Source organism: Homo sapiens, chromosome 11, assembly GCF_000001405.40.
Source record: "Homo sapiens chromosome 11, GRCh38.p14 Primary Assembly".
NCBI classification, from domain to species: Eukaryota; Metazoa; Chordata; class Mammalia; order Primates; family Hominidae; genus Homo; species Homo sapiens.
This window is the reverse complement of record NC_000011.10, coordinates 22,239,249-22,265,920: the sequence shown is the minus strand read 5'-3', so window position 1 is coordinate 22,265,920 and position 26,672 is coordinate 22,239,249. Positions and strand designations below refer to the sequence as shown.

The 26,672-nt window shown below is 34.5% G+C and overlaps 1 protein-coding gene across 15 annotated transcripts in view, besides 1 other annotated feature; it reads right to left on the bottom strand.

Annotated features, from left to right (window-relative positions):
• The window catches only part of ANO5 (anoctamin 5), a 90,885-nt gene that overhangs the window by 17,437 nt on the left and 46,776 nt on the right, over positions 1–26,672 (bottom strand). For 12 of the 15 annotated variants that reach the window (XM_005252822.5, XM_047426522.1, NM_001441294.1 and 9 more), the window contains 9 exons: positions 26,237–26,352; positions 15,550–15,684; positions 15,075–15,180; positions 14,910–14,970; positions 10,399–10,550; positions 8,167–8,241; positions 6,180–6,402; positions 3,623–3,792; positions 2,878–2,975 (listed from right to left, as the gene is read on the bottom strand). In XM_005252822.5, coding sequence (XP_005252879.1) covers positions 2,878–2,975; positions 3,623–3,792; positions 6,180–6,402; positions 8,167–8,241; positions 10,399–10,550; positions 14,910–14,970; positions 15,075–15,180; positions 15,550–15,684; positions 26,237–26,352 — 1,136 coding nt within the window. The remainder of the gene's footprint in view (positions 1–2,877; positions 2,976–3,622; positions 3,793–6,179; positions 6,403–8,166; positions 8,242–10,398; positions 10,551–14,909; positions 14,971–15,074; positions 15,181–15,549; positions 15,685–26,236; positions 26,353–26,672) is intronic. The other 3 variants (NM_001441300.1, NM_001441301.1, NM_001441302.1) reach the window with 1 other exon arrangement.
• Positions 5,319–5,488: an enhancer, noted in NCBI's record as "experimental_20787 CRE fragment used in MPRA reporter constructs". NCBI's record gives its function as "activates a minimal promoter by MPRAs in K562 erythroleukemia cells, with activity observed for both the introgressed and non-introgressed 11:22282064 variant alleles {active_cell/tissue: K562}" and the evidence as "EXISTENCE:reporter gene assay evidence [ECO:0000049][PMID:34662402]".

Genomic DNA, 26,672 nt, shown 5'->3' with positions numbered 1-26,672 from the left:
ACAATCTCTACTCCATTCCATTAGTTTATATAACTATCCCTTCACCAATCCTACATTGTCTTGATTAATATAGTTTGTAGTAAGCCTTAAAATTGAGTAGGGTGTTTCCTACAGCTTTATTCTTCTTTTATCATACTTGTTTGGGTTATTTTAGTTCCTTGGCCATCCATATAAATTTTAGAATCCACTTGTCTATACCTATAAAAATCCTGCTGATATTTTGATTATAATAACAATAAATCTATATATCAATTTGGGGATAATTGACCACCAACATGATATTTCTCTCCATTTATATAGTTTTACAATTTCTTTAATCAGGATTTTGTAGTTCTCCCCACACAAATTCTATATGACTTTAGAGTCTACCAAATAATTTCATTTGTTTGGAGCTAACAAATTCTGTGCTAACCAATGTTTCTTGCATCCTGTACTTTCACTTTGTGATCTCTTTTTGCTCAAGAAAATCTTTCAGTAGTTCTTTCCGTGACAATTTTACATGCAAACTCTCCTAGTCTTTTCATGTCTAAAAATGTCTATTTTACCAGCACTTTAAATAATAGTTAACCTGGTTCTAGAAATGAAAGGGGAACACTATTTTCACTGAGAACCTTGAAAACATTATCTTTTGGCATCTAATGCTATTGATGAGAAACTGATGATAGTGTAGATGTCATTCATTTGAATAAAGTTAATCTTTTTCATCTAAGATTTTTAAAGATTGTCTGTTTATCTTTGGTGTTCTGTAGTTTCACCATAATGAATCTGGGTATGAATTGAATTCTATTATCTTGATTCATACTCAGAATTTGTTTCCATTTCTGAAACTTGTGTTTTTCCTCATTTTTGAAAAATGTTCAGCAATTACCTATTCGAATATTTTTTTCCTTCAGCATTGACTCAATTAACTTTTTCTGGAACTACTAGTAGATTAATGTGGAAGCCTCTTAATCTAACATACCCTTATTTTATTTTTATTAAATGTCATATATTTGTTACACTGTACAAGGTAGGAATTTCTCACTATTATTTTCCAATTCACTAATACATTCTTCAACCATGTCCAGGCTGGAACTGTACTCTGGAATTTTCCCATCTTGTTGTACTCATTATTTAAGGTATAATTTTTCACTTATGTGTAATTGCTTCCATTTCATATTTACTTATTCTTATTTCATTTCTGTCAGTTTTTATTTATTTCCTGATCTATTTTAATGACAGTATCACCTTTCCTTATGTTGTTAGTATTGTCAACATCATTTTTTAAGGGCTTTTCCAGAATATTCTAGTTAGAAATATCAGCTGGGGTAAGTTCACTTTCTAATAATTGATTTTGTTCACAGCCTTTGTAGCATTAAATATTACCACATTTTGAAATTTTCGTTATTAGGAAGGTTCAGGGTTTTTGTTGTTGTTGTTGTTGTTAATTTGCTTGTTTTTTTTTTAAAATTTTTTTATTCTTTTACCTCCCCTGTCTTTTGTCTCTCTCCCTCTCTGTGTATATGTATCCCCCATCTTCTGTTTGGTTTAGGTATTGCCTCCATTCAGTCCTCTGGGTTCTCAATCTAGAGCTAGAACTTAAAATAAAAGTTTGGGGGCCAGGCATGGTGGCTTACGCCTGTAATCCCAGCACTTTGGGAGGCTGAGGCGGGTGGATCACCTGAAGTCAGGAGTTCCAGACCAGCCTGGTCAACATGGTGAAACCCCATCTATACTAAAAATACAGAAACTTAGCTAGGTGTGGTGGCACATGCCTGTAATCCCAGCTGCTCAGGAGACTGAAGCAGGAAAATTGCTTGAACCCAGGAGGTGGAGGTTGCAGTGAGCCGAGATTGCGCCATTGCACTCCAGCCTGGGCAACAGAGTGTAACTCTGTCTCAAAAAAAAAAAAAAAAAGGTTTGGCTATTTCCCTTATGGATGTGGTATATCTAAGCATGAAACTAGAAGGCTAGGCTTACATTTATTACCATTTGTAAGGATAAGTCCATGTTCTTCTTTTGTTAGTACTTGAAATAGAGCCCTAAGTGGCACTATGAAATTGTGTGTATATTGGAGGTGGGAAGGTGCAGGGATGGTGTTTTCAGTCTTCTTTCATGAGTGAGAATAAACCCAGTCTCTGGCTTCAAGTGCAGTTAAAGTGGATGGGCCTCTGTCTTAAGTGGAGCACTTTTACTCCACTTTGTATTGCATGCCAAACCCTGACACAGTCATTTCCTAACTAGGAGCCCTGAAGGATCGTAGACTTACGATTTTATAATTCTTTCTCTTTTTATCCATGACAATTTTCATCTACTATTTGAGATAAACTGTCAGTTTAGTTTTCTCTTTTTATAATGTATTCATTATTGCTGTGTTTTGATCAGAGAGCAATCTTTCATGTATTGACCTGAAAGTCTCCATCATTTCACTTACAATCTATTTTTATGCCTAGATTACATGACACATCGATATTTTTACAAAGTTCACCTTTTAGTAATATTCAGAAATAATACACAGCATGTAGAATAAACTGCAGAGGATATAGCATTTAGATGTCCCAGTGAAATCTTCACAGGAAAGAAAAGTAACAAAAATGCATATTTAAAAGATTGTGTTCAAAACATTATATTGTACCTCATAAATATAGATAATTATTATTTGTCAAATAAAATTTTTTAAAAACCTTGCTAGCCATGGAACCAAAATAAATAAATAAATAAAAATAAGAGTTTATATTACTTTAATGCAACCTTCACTGTTGATTAAAAATAAAGCTTTCTTTTGGCTTAAACATTTTCTAACAAAGGCACCATGGTAATCAAAAAATTCCATCTTCTTCTAGAGGAAATATCTCATGGTTACTTAAATCAAATAAAAAGCTTGTAAGTCATACATACGGATAAATGGCTTCTTTAATGTTTCCAAAAATCTGTTTCCCGGTCATTATAATGGTCAATTGGGTTGTCAATTCTATAAGACAGCCTCCAGGATCACACTAGTCAGAAGCAAGAGGGGAGAAAACAGAATTGAATGATCAAAGATGGAATTTTGCAACACCTAAAGGAAACCCTAAACTATAAAATTAGAATCTAAAGGTTTTGGTTGGAAGGGTTAAGATATATTTAGCCCAATAGTTCCAAACCTGATCACAGACCAGTGCCAGGCTAGCTGCATTAGATTCATCTGTGAACTGTGTTAAAAAACACAGATTTCTGGGTCTCATTCTTAGAAAATTCTGAGTTCTTTATATCTGGGTTAGGGTTGGGAGTTGTTATATCTTCCATTCTCCACAATTTGGAAGCCATGGATCTGTTCTAACTCTACTACCCATAGTGGAACCATTTCTACAGAAAGTAATCAGTCTTCCTTTGCAGGAAATTTTCAGGAATAAAGAACTTATGTCATTTTATATTTCATATTTTACTGCTAAACCATAGGCATAATGTAACTTCTTGCTCAAAAATAAACTGAGAAGTTTATCAAATGACAGGATTCATCTGTGAACAATACTCTCTGTGGATAGAGTCAGTGCCTAGATATATTTTGTAATTTTTTAGCATGTGAATCAGTGCTTGACACACAGAAAGTTGTTAATACTGAGGTATTGAAGCTACACACCTCAACTCTCAAGGAAATTCTTACCTCTTCACTTCTCCACTCATTAAATAAATATGTGTATTTTCCAGGATAGCCTACGAACTTCCCTTTAAAGAAAGCTACGTAGAAGCAGGATGAGTAAAAATTTACAAACTGAAACAGGAACATTTTCAAGGTAAGACTGCTCTCATACTCCTGGTATGTTCGAGGAATTTCTGTTAAGTTAAAAAAAAATGTTTAGTGCATCTTCTTATTTTTTTCCTTGAACTTCGTACTCCCTAGGACAAGTGAACATCTAGTCACATCATTCTGGGAGCCTATAGAATGCTCCCCATTCTGGCGATAGTAGGCCAATATTAAGTAACTATGGATTTGTGCTAGACTTTCTGTTACACATTTTGTATTAAACTAACCACTGGAAAAGCCTAGGAAGCTATTGTTACCACAGTCAGAGAGACAGCATTCTTGTCTTGGGGTTACACAGAATTTGAAATTCAAACCCACATGATATGGTTTGGCACTCTGTCCCAACCAAAATCTCATGTCAAATTGTAATTCCCACGTGCCAAGGGAGGGACCTGGTGGGAGGCCATTGAATCATGGGTGTGGTTTCCCCCATGCTGTTCTCCTGGTATTGAGTGAATTCTCAAGAGAGGTAATGGTTTTATTTATTTATTTTTGAGACGGAATCTCACTCTGTCACCCAGGTGGAGCACAGTGGCGTGATCTCAGCACACTGGAACCTCCGCCTCCCAGGTTCAAGCAATTCTCCTGCGTCATCCTCTCGAGTAGCTGGGACTACAGATGTGCACCACCACACCTGGCTAATTTTTTTGTATTTCTAGTAGAGACAGGGTTTCACCATGTTGGCCAGGCTGGTCTCAAACTCCTGACCTCGTGATCCACCTGCCTCTGTCTCCTAAAGTGCTGGGATTACAGGCATGAGCCACCATGCCTCGCCAATTGAGAGCTAATGGTTTTAAAGTGTGGCACTTCCCCATGCACTCTCTCTCTCCTGCTGCCTTATGAAAAACGTGTTTGTTTCCCCTTTACCTTCTACCATGATTGTTAAGTTTCCTGAGGCCTCCCCAGCCATGTGAACCGAGTCAATTAAACCTCTTTCCTTTACAAACTACCCAGTCTCAGGTAGTATCTTTATAGCAGTGTGAAAACAAACTAATACACCAAATAAGACTGAAGAAACTTATGCTCATCTCCAAACACTATCTGCCATGCTATAAGCCATTAGAACTCATCTGTTTTACAATCAGGTTTAAAGAAAGTAAGCTCATGTCAAGGGCAGGGATGATTTCCAACAGAATTGTGTTGCCCTCTCATTAATTCAATGGCTATATTAATTTTGAAAATAATGTAATTAGCAAATAGTGGCAGAAACAATACACATTTTCCCTCTCCTTTATTTAAAATGCATGATCATGATCTGTCATTTAATGAATTCTAAAGATAACAAAATATTAAATTATCTTCACCCTGCAATAGAGGATCATGAAGCACAAAAATGTAGAAAAGTATGTTTTCCTGAGCTGATGATCTCCCAGTAGCATGAGCTGATCCAGCCAAATCATGACATTTTCAGCAATACTGGAAGAGTATCACAAATTATTTTAAAGACACAGATAACTCCCCCATTTTAGTGAAATGTAGCTGTATTCCTACAAAACCTGTAATGTGAACTTGATTTTTTTTCCCATTGAGGAAAATGGTGAGTTTTTAGGTGCTTTTAAAAGCAATTTATCTGCTATGATTTTCTCACTGTTGATAGCAGAGAAAAGTAAAAATGGGAGAGAACTCCAAATTTGAAGATAGTATATAATGAAAGTCTCATCTCAGTGATCATTCCAGCGCTGACTGAATAATGTGGTCTTTTGCTTGACGTCAGCCATGATGTCTATGTACAACAGATTCAAACGAGCTTGAACCCTGGAGAGAACACTCAGAGAAGAGGCTGATGCCTTGATTTGAGTTTCCGATCTTACTGCTAACTTGCCAGGAAAAAGAGCAGAAGCGACTGTGCTCTGTGCTGCTCTACTTAACTCAATTTCTCACTTAACCTGTGACCCCTTTCACTTTCCCCTGTGGCTTGAAGTAGAAATTTTAATATTTTAACAAGAAAATATTCCAAATTCTAAGAGATAGCAGTAGAAAAGAAAAGCGCTAAAATTTAGATTTATTTAGGAGAAGCTGATGTTTCTGTTTTTCTCACAATAACTTCCAAAATCAATACTTTATAAGAACCATACACATGAAACAAAAATTATCTGTGTCTTCAGTAAAGTGATTATTTTTCTTAGGATTCAACTAGACCCATCAAGGGAGAATTAAGACAAGGATACTGAGAAAGATATATAGAGTCAGAATTCTTTTTTTTTTTTTTCAGTTATTTTGCCTCTTCCTTTATAATGGACCTTGAATGGTGGCTCTTGAGCAATTTTGAAATAGCAGATATGGGTCTATTTATAGAGAAAAACTGCCTTAAAATGTGTCCTTTGAAAATGAACTCCTGGAGACCTGATCCAAAATAGACATATAGCATCAATAAGAATCATTCTTCAGAATCACACAAATGATTTGGCCAGCTTACCCATTTTTGTGATCCAGGCAGATATCTTTTCATAAAAGAAATTCAAGATCAAGATGACAATAAAGTTCAAGCATGATCCTGTGAGTGATGTGGTTATCTGAGGAGTAAGGAAGCTTTTGACCTGCTTTAAGGATGCATCACTTTCCATGAAACTAGCAAATGTAGCAAAGACTGACAGGCGGTACACAATTACAGCTACCATACTGGTGACGACAAGAGACATCTGGGAAAGGAAAACAAAGAACTGCTATTTGGGTCTCTGTATCTCTGTTATGAATATATATCTAACATATTGATTATTCTGTTCATCTCATTATATGAAGTTTAGCAGTTCTCATGTGCAAAGCAAACTAAGTCAGTCTCTCTTTCCCTAGATGGCAAGACATGAACACTGGCAAGGTAAAAGGGTTAGAGATAAGGCATATAGTAGCTGCTGATTAAGTCTAAAAGAGAAACGTATTCATTGCTCATCCTCTAGGCTCATCCTCTAGTAGGGAGTGGCAAACTATAGTAGAAAGCCAAATCCTGCCCGTGGCCTTGCCTGATCTTATCTGGTCCTTAAATTAGGAATGTTCTTTTGTGTTTTTTTCTCTTTTTTTTTTTTTTTTTGAGACAGAGTCTCGCTCTGTCGCCCAGGCTGGAGTGCAGTGGCGTGATCTTGGCTCACTGCAAGCTCCGCCTTCCAGGTTCAAGGGATTCTCCTGCCTCAGCCTCCTTAGTAGATGGGACTACAGGTGACCGCCACCACACCCGGCTAATTTTTTGTATTTTTAGTAGAGACGGGGTTTCACCATGTTAGCCAGGATAGTCTCGATCTCCTGACCTCGTGATCTGCCTACCTTGGCCTCCCAAAGTGCTGGGATTACAGGCGTGAGCCACTGCGCCCAGCCTTCTTTTGCATTTCTAAAGGTTATAGAGAAAAATAAAGGCAATTATGTTCCAGAGACTATATGTGGCCACAAAGCCAAAAATATATCTGGCCCCTTTACAGAAAATGTTTGCTGACTCATGCTCTACATTGAAGTTAAAGATGTAGAATCAAGATCACTTATTTTCCTAAGAAAAATACATGTCAATATTGTATTTCATTTCCCCTCAGAATATTGCCATTAGTGCGCTAATATGCGTGGTAGTTTAGAAATTTATATACATTCTGTATAAATTTTGTATACTTCCCATATTGCAAAAGCACAAAGATGGCTTTCTATCAATCATTAGAGAATTTTATTCTAAAAGTTGAGGAAGCGAGTCAAATTAAATGAAAACTAGAAATCAAAAACAGAATAATTTTCTGGGGATATACTCCAGAAGATTTCTCAAAAGAGAGTCCTGAATTAATGATTCTCCCCCTTTTATTTTATCACATCTCCTCAATGATTATTATGTAATCTAAGAAAACATATTTTTACTGTTTTAAAATATGAAAATAGTAGATTTAACAAGAAATGCTAAAGATAAATCATATGGGGTTTATGGACTGGTGAGTCTAAACTATAGTCTACAACTGTCAATTATTTATATTTCAACATGCTAACTAACCTCTTAGAAGGTAACACTGCCTGTTTTCCTAAAATTAGATGCTAAGTGTTAAGAGGGAACACATTTGGAAAAAGGAAGAGCAGGAAATAAGGTGGAAATAAAGATACATTCATGATTTTTCTAAAACTAACCAAAGAGCCTGGAATCAGAGTAAGTTTGTTATTCTGTCCTGATTTCAAGTGATCACTTAAACGAAGTGTCGTGAGGCAGGGAGGGACGGGCTTTAAGATAAAGTACCTCCTTTTCCCCAAGATCTTTTCCCAAAGTTTAAGTATGGAAAATCCACATAAATTACAGTTTATTTTGTATAAGAGCTATAACCAAGATAAAAAGACCAGGGAGGGAGAGGGAAAGGAAAGACTCAAGAGACATTGTAGGTAACACTGTTGAGATAGCTCATTTAATCACCTGTTGAAGAAATTATAGCAATTTTTAAAGAAATGCTCACCCATAATGTCACTGTGGCTCCTGAAAGAAAGTACCATGGAATACGCGTGTATAGAGGCATGTAAGGTTCCATCTCCTGTAATATTGAAGAAATCACAAAGAAATTCAAAATCTCCCCTCTAAGTCAAGACTCCAAGCACTAGTCAATATCACAGAGCCCAGTTAAAGTAGGAGTCTCCCAAAAGGGCCTACTATAGGTCATGGAAAGCTACATTATAGGAATGGTTCCTTCTCTTGAAGGAGAAATCTCCAGGCCTCCTAGATGGGTTATCTTACACATGATATGAAACATAATGGATACACACAATTTCCTAAATGCTGAATTACAATGTTTAGGGCCTGGCACTGAGTAAATAAAGTCAAATAATGAATAATGAAGGTTGCTGCCTAGGTAGACATGATTTATGATGTTTAATGGTGTTATAATTTTATTCTAATTGAATTGAATTACATTGCTCTGCATGATATTAAATTAGATGCTTTCTTTATATTTTTCAGATAAACTGTGTTCTTCCACATAGCTCAGGAGCCAAGAATTCCACCTTTAGTCTTTAGGAGTTATTAATGAAAGATATTGATTATACAGCTGACATTCTTAGGTGCATCAAGAAGTAAGTAGATTTTACCCAAAAGAAGCAAAAAATAGTAAAAAAACAAAACAAAACAAACAAACAAAAAAAAAACGCTGTCAGCAGAAATCAAAATCATGTAATTCCATAACATAATATTTCACATTTTAAGAATTTTTAGGGTGGTCTGAATAAAAATAGAACTCTCAACAGGCAGAGTCAGCTGTCCAAGAGTCCTACACACCTCAGAATGTGTGTGCATGTAGGCATATATGTCACTGTGTACATGTGTGTTCATGTGTGCACCCAATGTATGCGTGTTCATGCATCTGTATGCATATTTGTGTGGGTGCACATGTGTGTTCCCAATGTGGACTCAAATGTGACAGTTCTGGTCGTCCTTAAACACTGAGGAAGCACTGCAATAAGTAAAAAACAAAACAAAACAAAACAAAAAAAAACTCTGTTTCATGATTTCTAAACCATGAAAGCTAAGTGAAGCCAACAATTCACAGTGAATCAATACATATGGCTTTTCAACTGGATTCAAATGTAAGCATTCAATACATTTTTTTCTGTTAATTTTTGGCAAAGCTAATAGGACTGCTTTTGTTTACTTTTTTATTTCGTGAAATAGGAATGAACATCATGTCATTATTCTGTCAGTATCTTTTAATATATTTTCTTAATTTCAAACTGCCACCCACATTGTTAATGTATTTTCTGAGATGTTTTCATGATCTTTTGAGATGTTTTCATGATCTTTCAATGAAATTTAGTAATTGTTCAGTGAATGCCTAAATGGTGAAAATAATTTTAAATGTTATACTGCGAGAATAATTTTCTGAAGAGAATAGGGAATTCTATTGAAGAGAGTGTATTTAGGACACATATTATTCTCTTTTAAATAGCAGCAGGAAACACAGTGATTGTAGATTACGGGAAGATAGGGGCTCAAAAAATATGTAACCAAGATTCTGGTCTTTAAAGGCAAAGCACTTCCATTTTCACATGAAAAAAGTGAGGTACCAAAAAGTTAAACAACTCAGTCAAGAACATATAGCTGGTTTGTCAGCTAAGCATTCTAATATGTAGACTTCTTCCCCCATACACAAATACAATGATTCTCAATATAATCAGTTAAAAGGGGCCGTGTGAAGAAAAGTTAGTCTAATAAAACATAAGACCTCAATCTTAATATAAATACTATTTTAATTTTTATATATCACTTAGCATCATTTCAATGTCTGTACATTTATATGCAAAGCCCACAGCATACACATTATTTTCCTTTTTGCACTTAGTTTAATGTTATTATGCCTTGGATTTGTTTCCAAATAATTTAGTGACACAAAAGAGTATGAGTATGAATGAAACAAGATTGTCCATGAATTAAAAACGATTCATTCTGAGTGATGGGTTCATCCATGTAGTTCATTATATTTTTCTATCTACATTTGAAAGTGTTTGAAAATTTTCATATATATACATTCTATATATACATTTATATACATGTATGTATATTAGAAACAAGTAAAGAAGTTTATGTGATTTATACGTTGCAGAATATTTTAAAGGCAAAATAAACTATGATTATATGAGAAGAAACCTATAGCAGTGTGTCCATTGAGATATGCTGTCCGTTTCACAGTTTTCTAGTCTACCTTAGTCACTGCATTCAATTTCCTGTGTTTACACATAGCTTCAAATTCTGGTCTCAGCTGAAGCTGCTGCTGTTCCTCTTCAAAGTCCACCAGGTCCCATTCATATTCCAGTCTGGCTTGTCGTTGTTTCCAAAACTCCAAAAATAAGGTGACTATAGGTAAATAAATATATAAAAAAAAGATATTAAAAAAGTTAAAAACTTTTTCAACTTTTCCCTTTAATTACTTTGGTTGCAGGATGGTTCACATGTTTCAGGTGGCTATTCTTTCACTGTTGTGTTTGATTAAAACTTCATCAATTATTAGTGTTGGCATAATATTGTGTATCCAATAATACACTGAAAAAAAATCATACAAAAATTTAGTTTCTTGGTCAGTGGTCCAAGCAAGAATTTTTTTCAGACATATTAATATATTTCTTCATTCAGACAATTTGAAGTAATATTTGAACTTAGCTTTTTATTAACACTGAAATATTTTTTTTTGCATGTATCTTTTATCTTTTATTGAAATCATTCAAGTCTTTGTACTGCTTTCTCAGGCTTGGGGAAATATACCTAGGAAGCATAAGAGCCAATCCCCAGCACAATTACTCTCTCTTTTAAACTACATATACTATATATACACACAAAACTTCAGCTTTCTTTTTATGTCTTTATTTGAGTCTCCTTCTGTCACCCAGGCTGGTCTTGAACTCCTGGCTTCTAGTGATCCTTCCACCTCAGCCCCCCAAAGTGCTGGAATTATCAACTTTCAATTGAAGAATATATATTTACAGAAAAATACATAAAGTATAAATGTACAATTCAAAAAAATTCACAAAATAAATATACCCATATAACCAGCACCAATATAAAAAATATTCCATTACAAATATATTTACTTAAATGATATACAACTGATACTTTTTCGTGTCAAGCTTTTTTTTTTTTGGTTCAACTTTGTTGCTGTGTACAGCGAAAATTCATTTATTTTCATTGCTGCATAGTGTTCGACTCTACGGTTAAATTGCAGTTCTGGTTATATATTCTTGGGCTGACAGACATTTGAGTTGTTTCCAGATACCTGCTATTACACATAGTGCTGCTGTGAACATTCTTGTACGTATCTATTGGTGGGCATATACATGCCTTTCTGTTCGGATATACTTAGGAAGAGAATACTAACACCTCCAATATTAACTCATAATTGTATCATCTATAAAAGATTCAACTTTCTGACTCACTCTCTACCTTTTAAATAATGTAAGGAACTATGGATGATATCCATACATTTTTAAAAATCCTAATTATATTTTTATCATTACAGTCATCTAATTGCTCTCTCAGCTTCCAAAATATATTTTTCCAGTGCAAATATACCTATCATCTGACTGTTGTTTTTTTGTTTGTTTATTTGCTCATGTATACATTGGCTTATGTTTTCCTTTGCTCATTATTTAAACTTTAAAGAAATATTTAAACATTTATTAAATGGGAAGAACACAGTAGACTAACCACTTAATTGTAAAGTATACAATTAATTATTGTGGACCATTAGTACAATGTTGTACAGACCTTATTCATCTTGCTTAATTGAAACTTTAAAGTATGCTTATTGATTAGTAACTGCTCATTTCCTAATCGTCCAGCCCTGGTAACCACAATTCCACTCTTTGATTCCATAAGTTTGGCTATTTTAGATACCTCATATAACTCCTCCAGTCAAAAAGTAATTCAGCCCTCCTCTGTACTCCCTCAGCATTTACAATGCACTTCTACGAAAGTAGACTTCAGATTCTAACCCAATTAGATTGTAACTTTCTTAACAACAGGTTATATTTCATTCACTTATTCATTCTATCATTTAATATTGGTTGTGAATTTCGTAAGGCAGAAACTTCTACTCTACTCATTTCATTACTGCTGTATGCAGTAGATACATTGTTAGCAGGGAGAACAGTTTCATGAACTTGGTACTATTAAACATTTTAATATTTGCTTGTTTGTTTATACTACAATAGAACAACTACCATTAATTTTAGAAGCAGTATTTGGTTACTATGGCTATGCAAGAGATTGGATGTCATATACATACTGCTAAAACTTTTAAATACACTAATCATTTAAAATTTCTTGTCTCAAAGTTTGTTAATGCTGAAGTAGAAATAAGAAAGTTGGCCAACATAGATGGGATTGTGAGATAAATTAATGATGGTACAAAATAGTTAGCAAAAAGAGTACTGTAAGGAAAGAGAAATGATGTGGACTAAAAACAATATTGTTCCCATGATTTCTACGGACTTTTGTGATTATAAGTATATAGGAATCACAGGATTCATATATTCCCTGAAAAGGATTTCAGGAAATTAAAGGGACCCTTGGTTTGGGCCTTATAGATTGTGCCTAAGTAGGACTTGACCTTTTTCATTTTTAAGAAGGAATACAATTAGCATTTAAATTATTTATTTATTCAACATATATTTGAATACATACCATATGCCTAGCCCTGGAACTATGGAGATGAAAGCCATGGTGTTTGTCCTAAAGGAGCAAGTAATCTAGTGATGAGCCTGGCTTATACACAATTGCAATCATGGAGGCATGTACACTCAAAATATGTCTTAAAATCAAGGACCATGTATGTGCATATTTAAATTCCTATTGCCTAGAATGGTACCTGTTCCAGGGTAGAAACTTTAAAAACTAGTTGCTGAATTATATTAAAGTATAAATAAAATGAAATCATTAAATTTCTGAAATGAAGCATAGGTGAACATCTTACATTATCTCTCAGTGGGGAACGTTTTCTAAAGAAACACAAAAACAAGAAAAACCATAAGGAAAGTTTTATGACCAGTAATATATATTAAAATGTCCATTGACTACGAATGAGATCAAATGTAAATTACAAACTGAAAAAAATATTTGCAATTTATGTGGCAGACAAAGGATTACTGTGCTTATTATACAAAAGCACATGTGAATCATAAAAAAATTTAAATACTTCAAACATCAAGGAGAGCCAATGGTCAGTAAATATTAAAAATGTGATCAGTCTCACTTGTGATCAAGTAACTGCAAATAGTGCTGAAGGGTGCTCCACACACACCCACTCCTCTATTTATGATGTAATATAAGGCAGGTGTTGGTGCACAATCTCTCTCAATGGAAACAATGGAAAATTCTCACAATGTATTTGTTTTAATCATGCACCTATCATTCATTTTTGATTCCAAGTAATGAGAGGTAGGATTTGGCAGCCTCATGAAAAATGGATGTATATACAACAACTTACAAAAACTGAGGTTGCTGTTAAACCATTAATAAGATTTCTAGATTCTTTATTCTTTCTTTGAATCTAGGCTGCTCTCTTCAGACCACAGCAGCCAAGCAGAAATGAGAGAAAGCCATAAATCCCTCCGCTTTGCAAACATACTACAAATTTTGATGTTATTTGACTGGATAATGCAGCCCTTGCCTAGTTTTTTTTTTTTTTTTTTTTTTTTTTTTTTGAGACGGCGTCTTGCTCTGTCTCTCAGGCTTGAGTGCAGTGGCACAATCTCGGCTCACTGCAAGCTCAGCCTCCCGGGTTCATGCCATTCTCTTGCCTCAGCCTCCCAAGTAGCTGGAACTACAGGCACCTGCCACCACGCCTGGCTAATTTTTTTTGGTATTTTTTAGTAGAGACGGGGTTTCACCGTGTTAGCCAGGGTAATCTCGATCTCCTGACCTCGTGATCTGCCCACCTCAGCCTCCCAAAGTGCTAGGATTACAGGCATGAGCCACCGTGCCTGGCCGCCCTTGCCCAGTTTTGAATGGCATATATTTGTGTTTGTTAGAGGTGTTTTTTAACTGGGAAAAATGTCTAATTTACACCCAGGAACTCCAAGTTTTGTGATATATTTTAGACCAGTCTTTAGGTCTCTTCCAACGAAGTTATTCTTACAGAAAACATTTTCCTTGCTGATGATAGGAAAAACTTCATGACACTTTAACTTTCCAACTGAAATGGTTAAAATATGAAGTCCTGGGCAGGGCATTTTCAAAGTTAAGGGAAATTCCATTCTATATGAAGGATTTTTAATGAATGAGTGTGGAAGTGGTAACTGTAACTAGACAATTTATACTCAAAAATGTTCATTAGTCCTCAAGTTTTTGATCTGTGTTCCAGTTTGTATACATGATCAATATCCTCCAGCCACAAAATATTTGTTTAGTCTCTCCTGAATGAAGTATTTTTTGAGCCTGTTTTTAACATGGCACTGAAAGACAGTGGGAAATTAATACATTTGATGTTTCAAAAATTATGTTGTCTCTTAGAGAAATGAGCTGATGTTTAACAGAGACCTTTGTGGACCAAGAACTAATGGCCACTAATATGCACTCCATCAGTATATTAATGCTAACAAAGACACAATGATCTAAAACCACATTTGGTATGTAAGATATTTCATCTGTCATATGTTATATGGAGGCAAAACAACACATTAATAGGAAGAAAGCTGTTTCTTTATGGGACTATTTACTCACCCCAAATTCCCATGAATATTGCAAAGAACACTGTTGACTCATTATCAAACAAATGGGAGAACTGTAAAAATAACAATAACAATATCACAAAGATAATTTAGTACTAAATGTAATAAAAAGGAGGAAAATTCCAAGTCTTTTCAACATGTTACAATGCATACATACCTTTGAAGCCAAACACGTACTATTTAGTCTCCAATAATCACACACTTGATCACAGAGTGGGCACATGATCATCTGACCACCAATCTCAGGGTCACAGATTTCAGTGCTGCAAGAGGAACAGCAAAGTTATTGAACAGTGATAGGTGTTTAGGTAAAAGTCCAAGCTGTTCTTATTAGAACAACTACTTATATAACTTCTCACATATAACAGAAGGGGCAATCAAGCAGCAATTTCTATAGTGGGTCAAGTCATGCTTTGAGGAGTAGAGTTTTCAGAGCCCAGCTTTAAAAACAGATTTTCCATAAAGCACCAGGTGAGAGGCAACTGTTATGTTTGAGTAGTTTTTGGAAAATATCGATTATCTGCTGCTATAAGGAAACATTCTGAAGGAAATGCCAGGGAAATAATAACAACAACTTCATTTGGCACAAGATAAAGATGTTTTCTCTATCTGGGCAACTCAGGTGCACTTACCTGCTTGTGTTATGTTCCATTGATAATAAGCCATAAATAAAACAAGCTAAGCCAACTACAGCTGCAAAGAATAGCATTTCTGTGTAAAATCCAAGAAAGACAAAATAGATACCAATTTTTTCTCCATAATAATTCCTGTGAAAAAGAGTAAAAACAGAATCAGAATATGGAAGAATGTTATAGTCTGGAGCCTTGATTTTGTATTCAGACAGGCATATATTCTAATTTTGGCTCCACTGCTTTCTAGACATGTAATTTTGGTGAAGTTACTCAACTCTCTAAACTTCAGTTTCCATATCATTATCATGTTTTAACACAAGATGGTGCTTATGCCATACTGCAAGGACTGATACAAGGATTAAAAGGGATAACAGATATAAGTAGAAAGCCAATTAAACGGAATTTAACTTTAAAATTTAAATAAGATAATTTGGAAAGCCTCTGTATTATAAAGAGAATTTAAATGGTTTTTAAATAAACTACAGAATATTCTACAATGTAATTTCTAGGAATGAACTTAACAAATCAAAACCATATCCAAAATCTGCATGGACTTTTGCTTTATCTCTCTAAAACTGAAAACATTTCTCTGACCGCATTGTAGATATACATTTCCATCTTTCTCCAAGTTTGAATCTTGGATGTTTACAGGATTGTGACATATGCAGCAGGCCAAGGAATTAAACATGACTACTTTAGCAAAAATTCTATGAAATATGCAGCCTAGCTCTTGGTTTTCAAAGAATTGAAAAGTGACAGCGTTTATCGGCACAACATTTTAATTCTCACAACCAAGTGTTTTGTTTTTAACTTAGTACCCATTTAGGAATGAGAGAAAGTAGTTTTCTCCTCCTCAGAAAGTCAGGTTTTCTTGTTGTTGTTGTTTAACCTGATTAATCTTCCTCCTTATTCATATAGATCCCAGCTCACCAAATCTGTGAGTCTTTCCACAGTTTCCTAGGCAGAAAGATGTGATACCTTTTGTGTTCTAGTAGCATGCCATATGATTCTGTGAAAGTACTTAATATTAAATTGTAATTTCTATATATGCTTAACAAGAACACATATCTGAACATAAAGGTTATAAACATTTTTTCTCAATGAGATTTTAAAATGTATTTATCATATTCAATATTAACTTTATTGAACATCCCATTCTTCATATTTCAACACTCTTAATATTAATAGGCATCTTTCTGTTTATCCTGTCTTTTTTCATTCTTTTCAGTGATGATGAACATTGTTGCATTGTTAATTTCCCTAATTTGGTTTTCCAGATCACTATAAACTTGAAATTAAATTATAATGCCATCATATTCCCTTGCTAATCTGCCATTCACAACTTCCTTAGCTTACTCAGAGTGAATGAACTTTTTCTCCCAGTTTTTTTCTGAAAAATGTAGAAATTATTGTAATAGTACATGACATCAAAATCAGAAAAAGTACAAAAATATATTTTATGAAATTTACTGTTTACCATGTCTATTTTTAATGTTTTAAAAATGGCAGAATCAATGTTATTAGAAATATAATATCAACATTATTGCTATAGACTTAACTTAAAAATTCTTTAAGTATTCATAAGGAAACTGGATATTTCAACAATCTTAGTTTTAAAGTACTACTTTTTTCTCCTTTTCAATTGTCACAAGTCTTATTCCTTGAGCATAAAAAACAAAATCCCTCAAGAACTCTAAACCTGTCAAAAAAAGAAATTGCTGAGAATTTACTAAATGAAATCAGGTAAGTATTTATTACATGTGGAAATATACAAATTATCTTACTAAACTTTGGACTTGGGTATCTAACAGTAACAGATTAACAACGAAATAATCTTTCAGGATCTCAGAAAGCAGGAGATATTTCTTAGATTTGCAATATGGTAAAAATGCATACATTATTGAAATCACATTTAATATTTAATTTAAACTATCTTGTTAGTCATAACTAAGAAAATAAGAGAAATCTAATAACATGAGACACTCTACAAAAGCTCAAATATAGGGAGAGCCTTCTTTTGAGTATTATTTTTTAGAAAAATATGCCATATATTTAAATCTATGATCTTTTTTAACCTGTCCATTTTAATTATTAGACTTTCAACTGATCTGTGGCACTGCACCATTTAACACAGCATCTGATAGGTAGATGTGTGTTAGATACTGTGTGAGGGGACTGCTCTCATTTTGTATTTCCAAGATGTAATATTTAGTTGAAGACATAGTAAATAATCAAAAGAATGATGATAGAATTAAATTGAATACAATCTTGATAAATCAATCAATGCAAACATTTTTTTCTAAAATGACTTATTTTTACAATGAATCCATAAACATCTGAGAAACTTAGCTTCAGTATTATCCTCACATTGTAATAACATTATCTGTACCACACATATATTTAGTCTATGCTATTTAGTATGTAGCAGTATTTCAATTTTGTTTCTAAGCATTAACATACAACATATGGATATCAAAAACAAATTACCTGAAGTGTAAGCTGGAAGGAAAAAAAAATGAGCTGATAGAGCTGATGTGCCAGTGATCAGTCTTCAACTTTATATGCTCCATCAGCCCATTTTTCTCAATCTTAGCATTGCCATTTTCCCCAAAAATATTATCTAATGTGACAAAACTATCTGTGCTCAAAAGGCAGAAAAACCACTTCCAGATATCTGGACATTAAAGTGATGTTTGGTATAGAGGTAACATGAAATATGTGAAATCTAGGAACTCAGATTCCTATAAACTGTATCTCTTTCTAGACACCCTATCATTCTGTCTTCCTTATTTTTGTCCTCCATATCCAATAATCCATTAGGGCCAATGAATTCTGTCATAAAAATATTTTTTCTAATTCATAGTCTCCTCTCCTTCCTGTTGTCAATGCCTTGAAAAGACCTCCAAAATTTATTGCTGGACAATTTTAACAGCCTTTACTTCCCTGAGTTCAATCTTATATCCATCTAAATTATCTTTTGTTTCCAATAAAATGATGTTTCTAAAGAAAAATTGAGCAATATCCTTTTCTTCCTTCAAAGCTTCATCTTTTTACTTCAGCATTGTTCTTCAGGATTTTGTTCCTGGTGAACATTCAAATCTTCTTTGCCAACACTCCTACTTGAAGAACTAAACAAACACACAATGCTCTTGTGTGTTCTCTTTGCCTGAGATATTCTTACCTAACTTCTTTCCCTACTATACTGCTACTTATCTTTCAAGACATAGTTCAAAAGCACTGTGAAGCTTTCCTAGAGGTTGTCATGAAGATAGGTGCTTTTCCCTCTGTATTTTGTTTGGAGTATTACTGTGCTGTAACTAATACGCATTTGTGTGTGTTCCTGCAAACAAATTCATGTTAGGAAACCACCATCTGATTATCTTTGTAGGCACAGTACCTTGCTTGATATGTAGTGATGCTTAATAAAGTCTCATTAAAAGAAATGTGTCAATTGTAATTATGCATATATGAATAAATTCTTTTCTTTTTTGCTTTTTTTTTTTTTTTTTTTTTTTGAAACAGGGTCTCACTCTGTTGTGCTAGGTTGTAGGGTAGTGGTGCGATCTCGGCTCATCGCAACCTCTGTTTCCCAGGTTCAAGCAATTCTCCTGCCTCAGCCTCCAAAGTAGCTGAGATTACAGTTGTGTGCGCCACCACGCTGGGGTAATTTTTGTAGTAGTAGTATTATTATTTTTTAGGTAGAAACGGGGTTTCACCATGTTGACCAGAATCGTCTCAAACTCCTGACCTAAAGTGATCTGCCTGCCTTGGCCTTCCAAAGTGCTGAGATTACAGGCAAATTCTTTCTATTTTAAGAATATTTTAACTTTTATCAAGTCTACCCACAAAACCTTTACTAAAACCCATGAAATCAACAAGGAGAGGAAAAACACCCAAACCCAATACAGGCCTTCAGTATCATGACAGAGAAAGTCATGATCCTCAAATTACCTGCAACTAAGGAAATAAAAACAACACCTGCTGCTACAAACCTAAGACACAGGAGAGAGGTGAAGATGTTTAAGAAATTATAGGGGAAAAATGTAAAGTAGGGTGGAAAACATAAAGAAACACAGCTAAAATAACCCTAGAGAAAAGTTTAACTAAATGCCCTAATGCAGAATATATGTTTGGATTTGGTCATTTATAATCTATAAGAAAGGATCTGAAAAGAGTGAGACTGGAAGTGGCAGCCTGAGATAAGCAATATTTCTTGAGAAGAATCAGATACAAAGAGAAGACTGGTACTCTTTGGAGGAGTGTCAGTAAACAGAAAAAAGAAAATAGGAGAGTTAGAATCTCGTAGAAATGAAAGAAATAGGCTGCGCAGGGCAAGGGAAGATGGGTGCCCACAGCTGTGAGACTCACAGGAAGCTTCAGGTCCAGCACACACAGAAACAGATTCTCCCTCACTCCCATTCACCAGGTTGAGCATCCCTCATCTGAAAATTCGAAACACAAAATTCTCCAAAATCTGAAACTTTTTGAGTGCCGACATGATGCCACAAGTAGAAAATGCTACCCCTGACCTCATGTGATGAGCCACAGTCAAAACACAGGCACACAATGAGAAAATGACATTTTTAACACTGCAGAAAGGTGTCTACAGACAACACATTGAGAATGTGTGATGGACTAACAGAGAGGGGCACTCTAGTGCTAGAAACTCTGTTTATAAATTAAAAACAAATTGAAATAGGTAGGCCACGTCCATAAAAAAACATGCAAAACAAAAGCAAAATCAGAAAATGTGAAGTAAATAATTTAGTCTGATAATTCTCCCCAAATAACATGAAATTGAATAATACTGTAATAAAAACCTAAAAACAGAGTGAACTCTTCTCAAATAAATATTTGCTGATACAAGAAAACCCCAGAAATATAAAAACTAAAAAAAGGAATAGAGAAGAGTGGAAAGATATAAAACAAAAATTGATTGAACTCCAGAGATAAGTAGAGCAAATTATAAATCATATCAGATCACATCAGAAGTAATACTGAAATTAGCAAGTAACAAAGGAAACACAGACACAGTGCCAGCGATCAGAGGGGTCTCCCCCAGGATCCCGAAGCATACCAGCAAGGAGAGAGGGTCATCTCTCTTTTCACCCCACCACAGAGCACTGCTGTGAATAGGCAGAAATACTGAAGCGCTGCGAGGCTGAGCCTATCTGCTGGCTCTTACTCCTAAGTGCCATCTACTGGATAGTAAACCAAATTACAACACCAAAAACATTCTGCCAATATACAAAACTGTGAAACCCAAGGCAAGAATCCAGCTACAAATAAAGACCCTGTACAGAGCCTTGGCTCTCTGAAAGCACCCAGTAATGAAGCCAATTGACTATACTCAACTTATACTACAATTAATGGAACACCAGCCCTCTCAGGCAAGAAAGATTCAGTGCAAGAACTCTGGAAATTCAAAAAGTCAGTGTCCCCTTACCTTCAAATGAGCTCCTCAGCAATGCTTCTTAACTAGATGGTAACAACAGAAATGACAGACATACAATTCAGAATGGAAAGGACACTCATCGAGATTCAAGAGAAAGTTAAAACCCAATCCAGTAATCCAGGAATCCAGTAAAACAATCTAAGAGCTGAAAGATGAAATAGCCATTTTAGGAAAAAACAAAACTGAACTTCTGGAATGGAAGCAATCACTACAAGGATTTTATAATACAACAGGAAGCATTAACAGCAGAATAGACCGAGCTGAGGAAAGCATCTCAGAGCTCAAAAACCAGTTCTTCAAATCAACTGAGCCAGACAAAAGTTAAAAAAAAAAAAAAAAGAACAAAACCTCCAAGAAATTTAGGATTACATAAAGAGACCAAACTTATGACTTATTGGCATTCCTGAGACAGGAAAGTAAACAACCTGGAAAAAGTGCTTGAGGATATAGTCTATAAAAATGTCCCCAATCTCACCAGAAATTGATATACAAATTTAAGAAAGATGGAGAACCCTGATGAGACACTATATCCCCAAGGCACATAGTCATCAGATTCACCAAGTTCAACACGAACAAAAAAATTTAAAGGCAGCTAGAAAGAAGAGTCAGATTACATCCAAATGGAAGCTCATCAGGCTAGCAGCAGACCTGTCAGCAGAAATCTTACAAGCCAGAAGAGATTGGAAGCCTATTTGTAGCATCCTTAAAGAAAAGAAATTCTAACCAAGAATTTCATATCTCATCAAACTAAGCTTCATAAGTGAAGGAGAAATACAATTCTTCTCAGACAAGCAAATTCTGAGATAATTTTTTACCACTAGACACGGCTTACAAGAGGTCCTTAAGAGAGTACTAAACATGGAATGAAAGAACAACACCTGCTATCACAAAACACACTTAAACACATAGCCCAAAGACACTATAAAGAGACTATACAATCAAGTCTACAAAACAACAAGCTAACGACATGATGACAAGATCAAAATCTCACATATCAATACTAACACTGGATGCTGAGATGCAAAAATCTATACACAAGATCAATGAAACCAAGTATTGGTTCTTCAAAAGAATAAATAAGACAGACCACCCTAGCTATATTAACAAAGAAAAAAAGGAGATCCAAATAAGTCCAATGAGAAATGACAATGATGATATTATAACTAATCCTACAGAAATCAAAAATCCTCCAATACTATTATGAAAAGTTCTATGCACATAAATTAGAAAATCTAGGAAATGAATAAATTCCTGGAAACACAAAAGCTCCCAAGATTAAACCAGGAAGAAAGTAAAAACCCAAACAGACCATTATAAGTTTTGAAATTTAATCATTAATTTAAAAATCTACCAATCAAAAAATGCCCTAGACCAGATGAATTCACACCCAAATACTAGCAGATAGAAATACAAAGAAGAACTTGTAACAACCCTGCTGAAACTATTCCAAAAACTCAAAAAGGAAAGGCTTCTCCATAACTCGTTCTATGAAACCAGCACCAGGCTGATACCAAAATCTGATAGAGACACAACAACAAAAAGACAATGTCAGGCCAATATCCCTGATGAATACAGACACAAAAGTTGTCAACAAAATACTAGAAAACCAAATCCAGGAGCACATCAAAAAGTTAATACATCCGATCAAACTGGCATTATTCCTGAGATGCAAGGCTGATTCAACAAGTGCAAATAAGTAAATGTGATTCACCACATAAATAGGATTAAGAGGAAAAACTATTAACATATGATCATCTCAATAAATGCAGAAAAAGCTTTTGATAAAATTCAGCATCCCTTTCCATTCATGATTAAAAAACCCTCAATAGTCTTGGTATTGAATGAACATACCTCAAAATAATAAGAGCCATCTATGATAAACCCACAACCAACATCATACTGAATGGGCAAAAGCTGGAATCATTCCCCTTGAGAAATGAAATAAAACAAAGATGCCCACTCTTACCACTCCTATTCAACATAGTGCTTAAGTCCTAGCCAGAGGAATCAGGCAAGAGAAAAAAAATAAAAGGCATCCAAATAGGACAAGAAGAAGTAAAGCTATCTCTCTTTGTTGCCAAATGATTCTACACCTAGAAAACCCTAAAGACTCCACCAAAAGTCTCCTAGATTTCATAAATGACAGATGAGAGAGTTCAGTAAAGTTTCAGGACCCAAAAGCAATGGACAAAAGTGAGTAGCTTTCTATATGGCAATAATGTTCAAGCTGAGAGTCAAATCAAGAACACAATCCCATTTTCAATAGCCACAAAAAATGAAATATCTAGGAATACAGCTAATCCAGGAGGTGAAAGATCTCTACAAGGAAAACTACAAAACACTGATGAAAGAAATCAGAGATGACACAAATAAATGGAACAACATTCCTTGTTCATGGATTGGAAGAATCAGTATCATTAAAATGGCCATACTGCCCAAAGCAATTTACAAATTCAATGTTATTCCTATCACACTACCAATGACATTTTTCACAGAATTAGAAAAAGCTATTCTAACATTAACATAGAACCATAAAAATGGCCAAATAGCCAAAGCAATCCTAACCAAAAAGAACACAACAAAGAACACAACTGGAAGCATCACACTACCTGGCTTCAAACTATGCTATAAGGCTATGGTAAGCAAAACAGCATGGTACTGGTAAGACACATAGACCAATGGAACTAAACAGAGAAAGCAGAAATGAAGCTGCACACCTCCCACCATCTGGTCTTCAACAAAGCTGATGAAAACAAGCAATGGGGAACGGATTCCGTATTCAATAAATGGTGCTGGGATAACTGACTAGCAATATACAGAAGAATAAAACTTGGACCCTTATCTTTCACCATATAGAAAAATAACTAAAGATGGAATAAAGTTTTAAATGTAAGACCTCAAACTATAAAAATCCTAGAAGAAAACCTAAGAAGTATCTTTCTCTACATCGGCCTGGGTAAATAATTTTTGGCTAAGTCACCAAAAGCAATTGCAACATCAAAAAATAATTGACAAGTGGGACCTAATTAAACTAAAGAGCTTCTGCACAGCAAAAGAAAGTATCAATAGAGTAGACAATCTACAGTATAGGGGAAAACATTCACAAACTACACATCCAACAAAGGTCTAATATCCAGAATCTATGAGGAACTCAAACAAGTCAACAAGCAGTATCCAAATAACCCCAATAAATAATTGGCAAAGGACATGAAGAGACACTTCTCAAAATACATACAAGCAGCCAACAAACATATGAAAAAATGCTCATCATCACTAATCCAGAGAAATGCAAATCAAAACCGCAATCAGATAACATCTCATACCAGTCAGAATGGCTATGATTAAAAAGTCAAGAAATATCAGATGGTGGTGAGATTTGGGAGAAAAGAGAACATTTATACACCGTTGATGGGAATGAAAATTAATTCAGCTGCTGTGGAAAACAGTTTGGAGCTTCTGCAAAGAACTTAAAACAGAGCTGCCATTTGACCCAACAATCTCATTACTGGGCATATGCTCAAAGCAATATAAATTGTTCTACCAAAAAGATGCACGCACCTATATGTCCATTGCAGCACTATTCACAATAGCAAAGACATGGTATCAACCTGGGTGACCATTAATGGTGGAGCAGATAAATAAAACGTGGTATATATAAACCACTTGTAAGTGGGAACTAAATATTGAATACACATAGACATAAGGATGACTACGATATACACTAGAGGAGGTAGTGTGGGAGAGGGGTGTGGGTTAAAAAACTCCCTATTTGTTACTATGCTCACTACTTGGGTGGCAGGATCTGCACCCCAAACCTCAGCATCGTGCAATATACCCACACAAAAAACATGCATGTATACCACTGAATCTAAAATTAAAAAGTTGAAATTATATAAAAAAATTGGGACAGCCTAATGTTTTTCAATAGAAAAACAAATAAATGAATTATGAAAAATTTATAATAAGGCATTCTGTGTTCCACTAAATAGTATCAGATAGATCTTTGTGTATTCATAGAAGGACATCAGTAATATACTATTTAGTGAATAAAGAAAAATATTAGCATGAAAGAGAAGAGAAAGATGCCATTGCTCTCAGAAAAAAAAATGTTTCTGCTTTTTTATGCAGGAACACAAAAATAGGACTAAATCAATATTATCCAAATCAAGCCTAGTTATTTTTGTGGAGTTTGATGAAGGTAGAATTTCACTTAAAACTTTGTTCATCTCTTAATTATTTGAAATGTTTTTGATAAATATTCTGGTTTTATAACTTAAAGTATTAAATGATTATTATTCAAAACAGTTAAAATAGCCATTCAAGAAAGAGTTTGCATGATTTATCAAAAGCCCCAGTTTATAAACTGACTAAGTGACATTAATTTTCCAAAATGTGTCCTCTAGTTTGACTTAAACATACTGTTGAGATAACATTTCAGTTGATTTGGATGGATCCATTCAAATCAGTCTCATGAAACAGATACTGTGATGCTGTGTAAGCATAGCAATGCAAGTATAAATCATCAAGGAAAAAACACTGCCTATAGTAGCAAGAGATCTCTAATCTAATAGTTCATTGAATAAAATCATATGTCTCCTAATATCTTGTATGCTTGTAGTATTGCTATGCTTTAAAGTGATAACCTGCAACCATAGTCTTCTTGCTTAGCTAATGAAACTATCTAAAGGATTGAGGTCATAGAACAAATGTCTTCACAGCTCACTGAGAGCACACACACACAAACATCCATACACAACCTTTGTCTTATGTTCCAAATTTCTGGACTCCAAGAGAAACAAAAACTAATATGTATTAAACACTAAGTGTTAGCCCCTATGCTAAAAAGTAGTAATATTGCTATTCCCGTTTTACAGATAGTATAGATATTATAACTAATGTGCTAAAAAGTAGTAATATTGTTATATCTATTTTCATAATGGTTAAGTAACTTGACCAAATTTATATAGCTTTCAAGAGACAGAACTTGGATTGGAATTCAGCCTAGCTAAATGCTAAGGTCTAACCTCCTAACCACCATACTATCGCTGTTGTCTTTCATCAGTTTAGCAACAACATTCTCCTAAATGAATTGCTAATTTATAGTGTAGATATGAAATCAAGAAGTTGTGAAATGTAGTGGGAGAAAATAGTAGTAAAAAAAATATTATGCCATTGTGAATAAAAATCACATTATCAAGTTTTAATTGGTCTGATCCTGTGTATGAAACTTACTTAATCAAGTCTAAAGGCTGCTCCTTGTAGAAATAGGAAAATCGAGCCCAATTCTGGTGAAGTGTGTATCTTTCATTGGTAGGATTGGGAGGTTCTGATGGCTTCCAATATTGGCCCTGCAGATATTCAAGAGGAGGGTACATAAAAGACGAAGCAAAAGACAAAGACGAAGTAAATAAACACTGCTGTTCTAAGAATGTTAGTAAACAAGGGTATGTTTTCTTTTACTTTTAGATTTCATATTCAATTGATGTGAAATTATTTCATAAACTAATAATATTTATTTATTAAATTATCACACAAAGCTATCTCAAAATGCAAGTAAAAGTATAAGACTTTGGCTTTACTCAAGCTATTCTTTCACCTGGAATGCCCTTTCTTCTCTACTCAAATCCTAATATAATATTCACGGCCCAGAGAGCCATATCACTATACA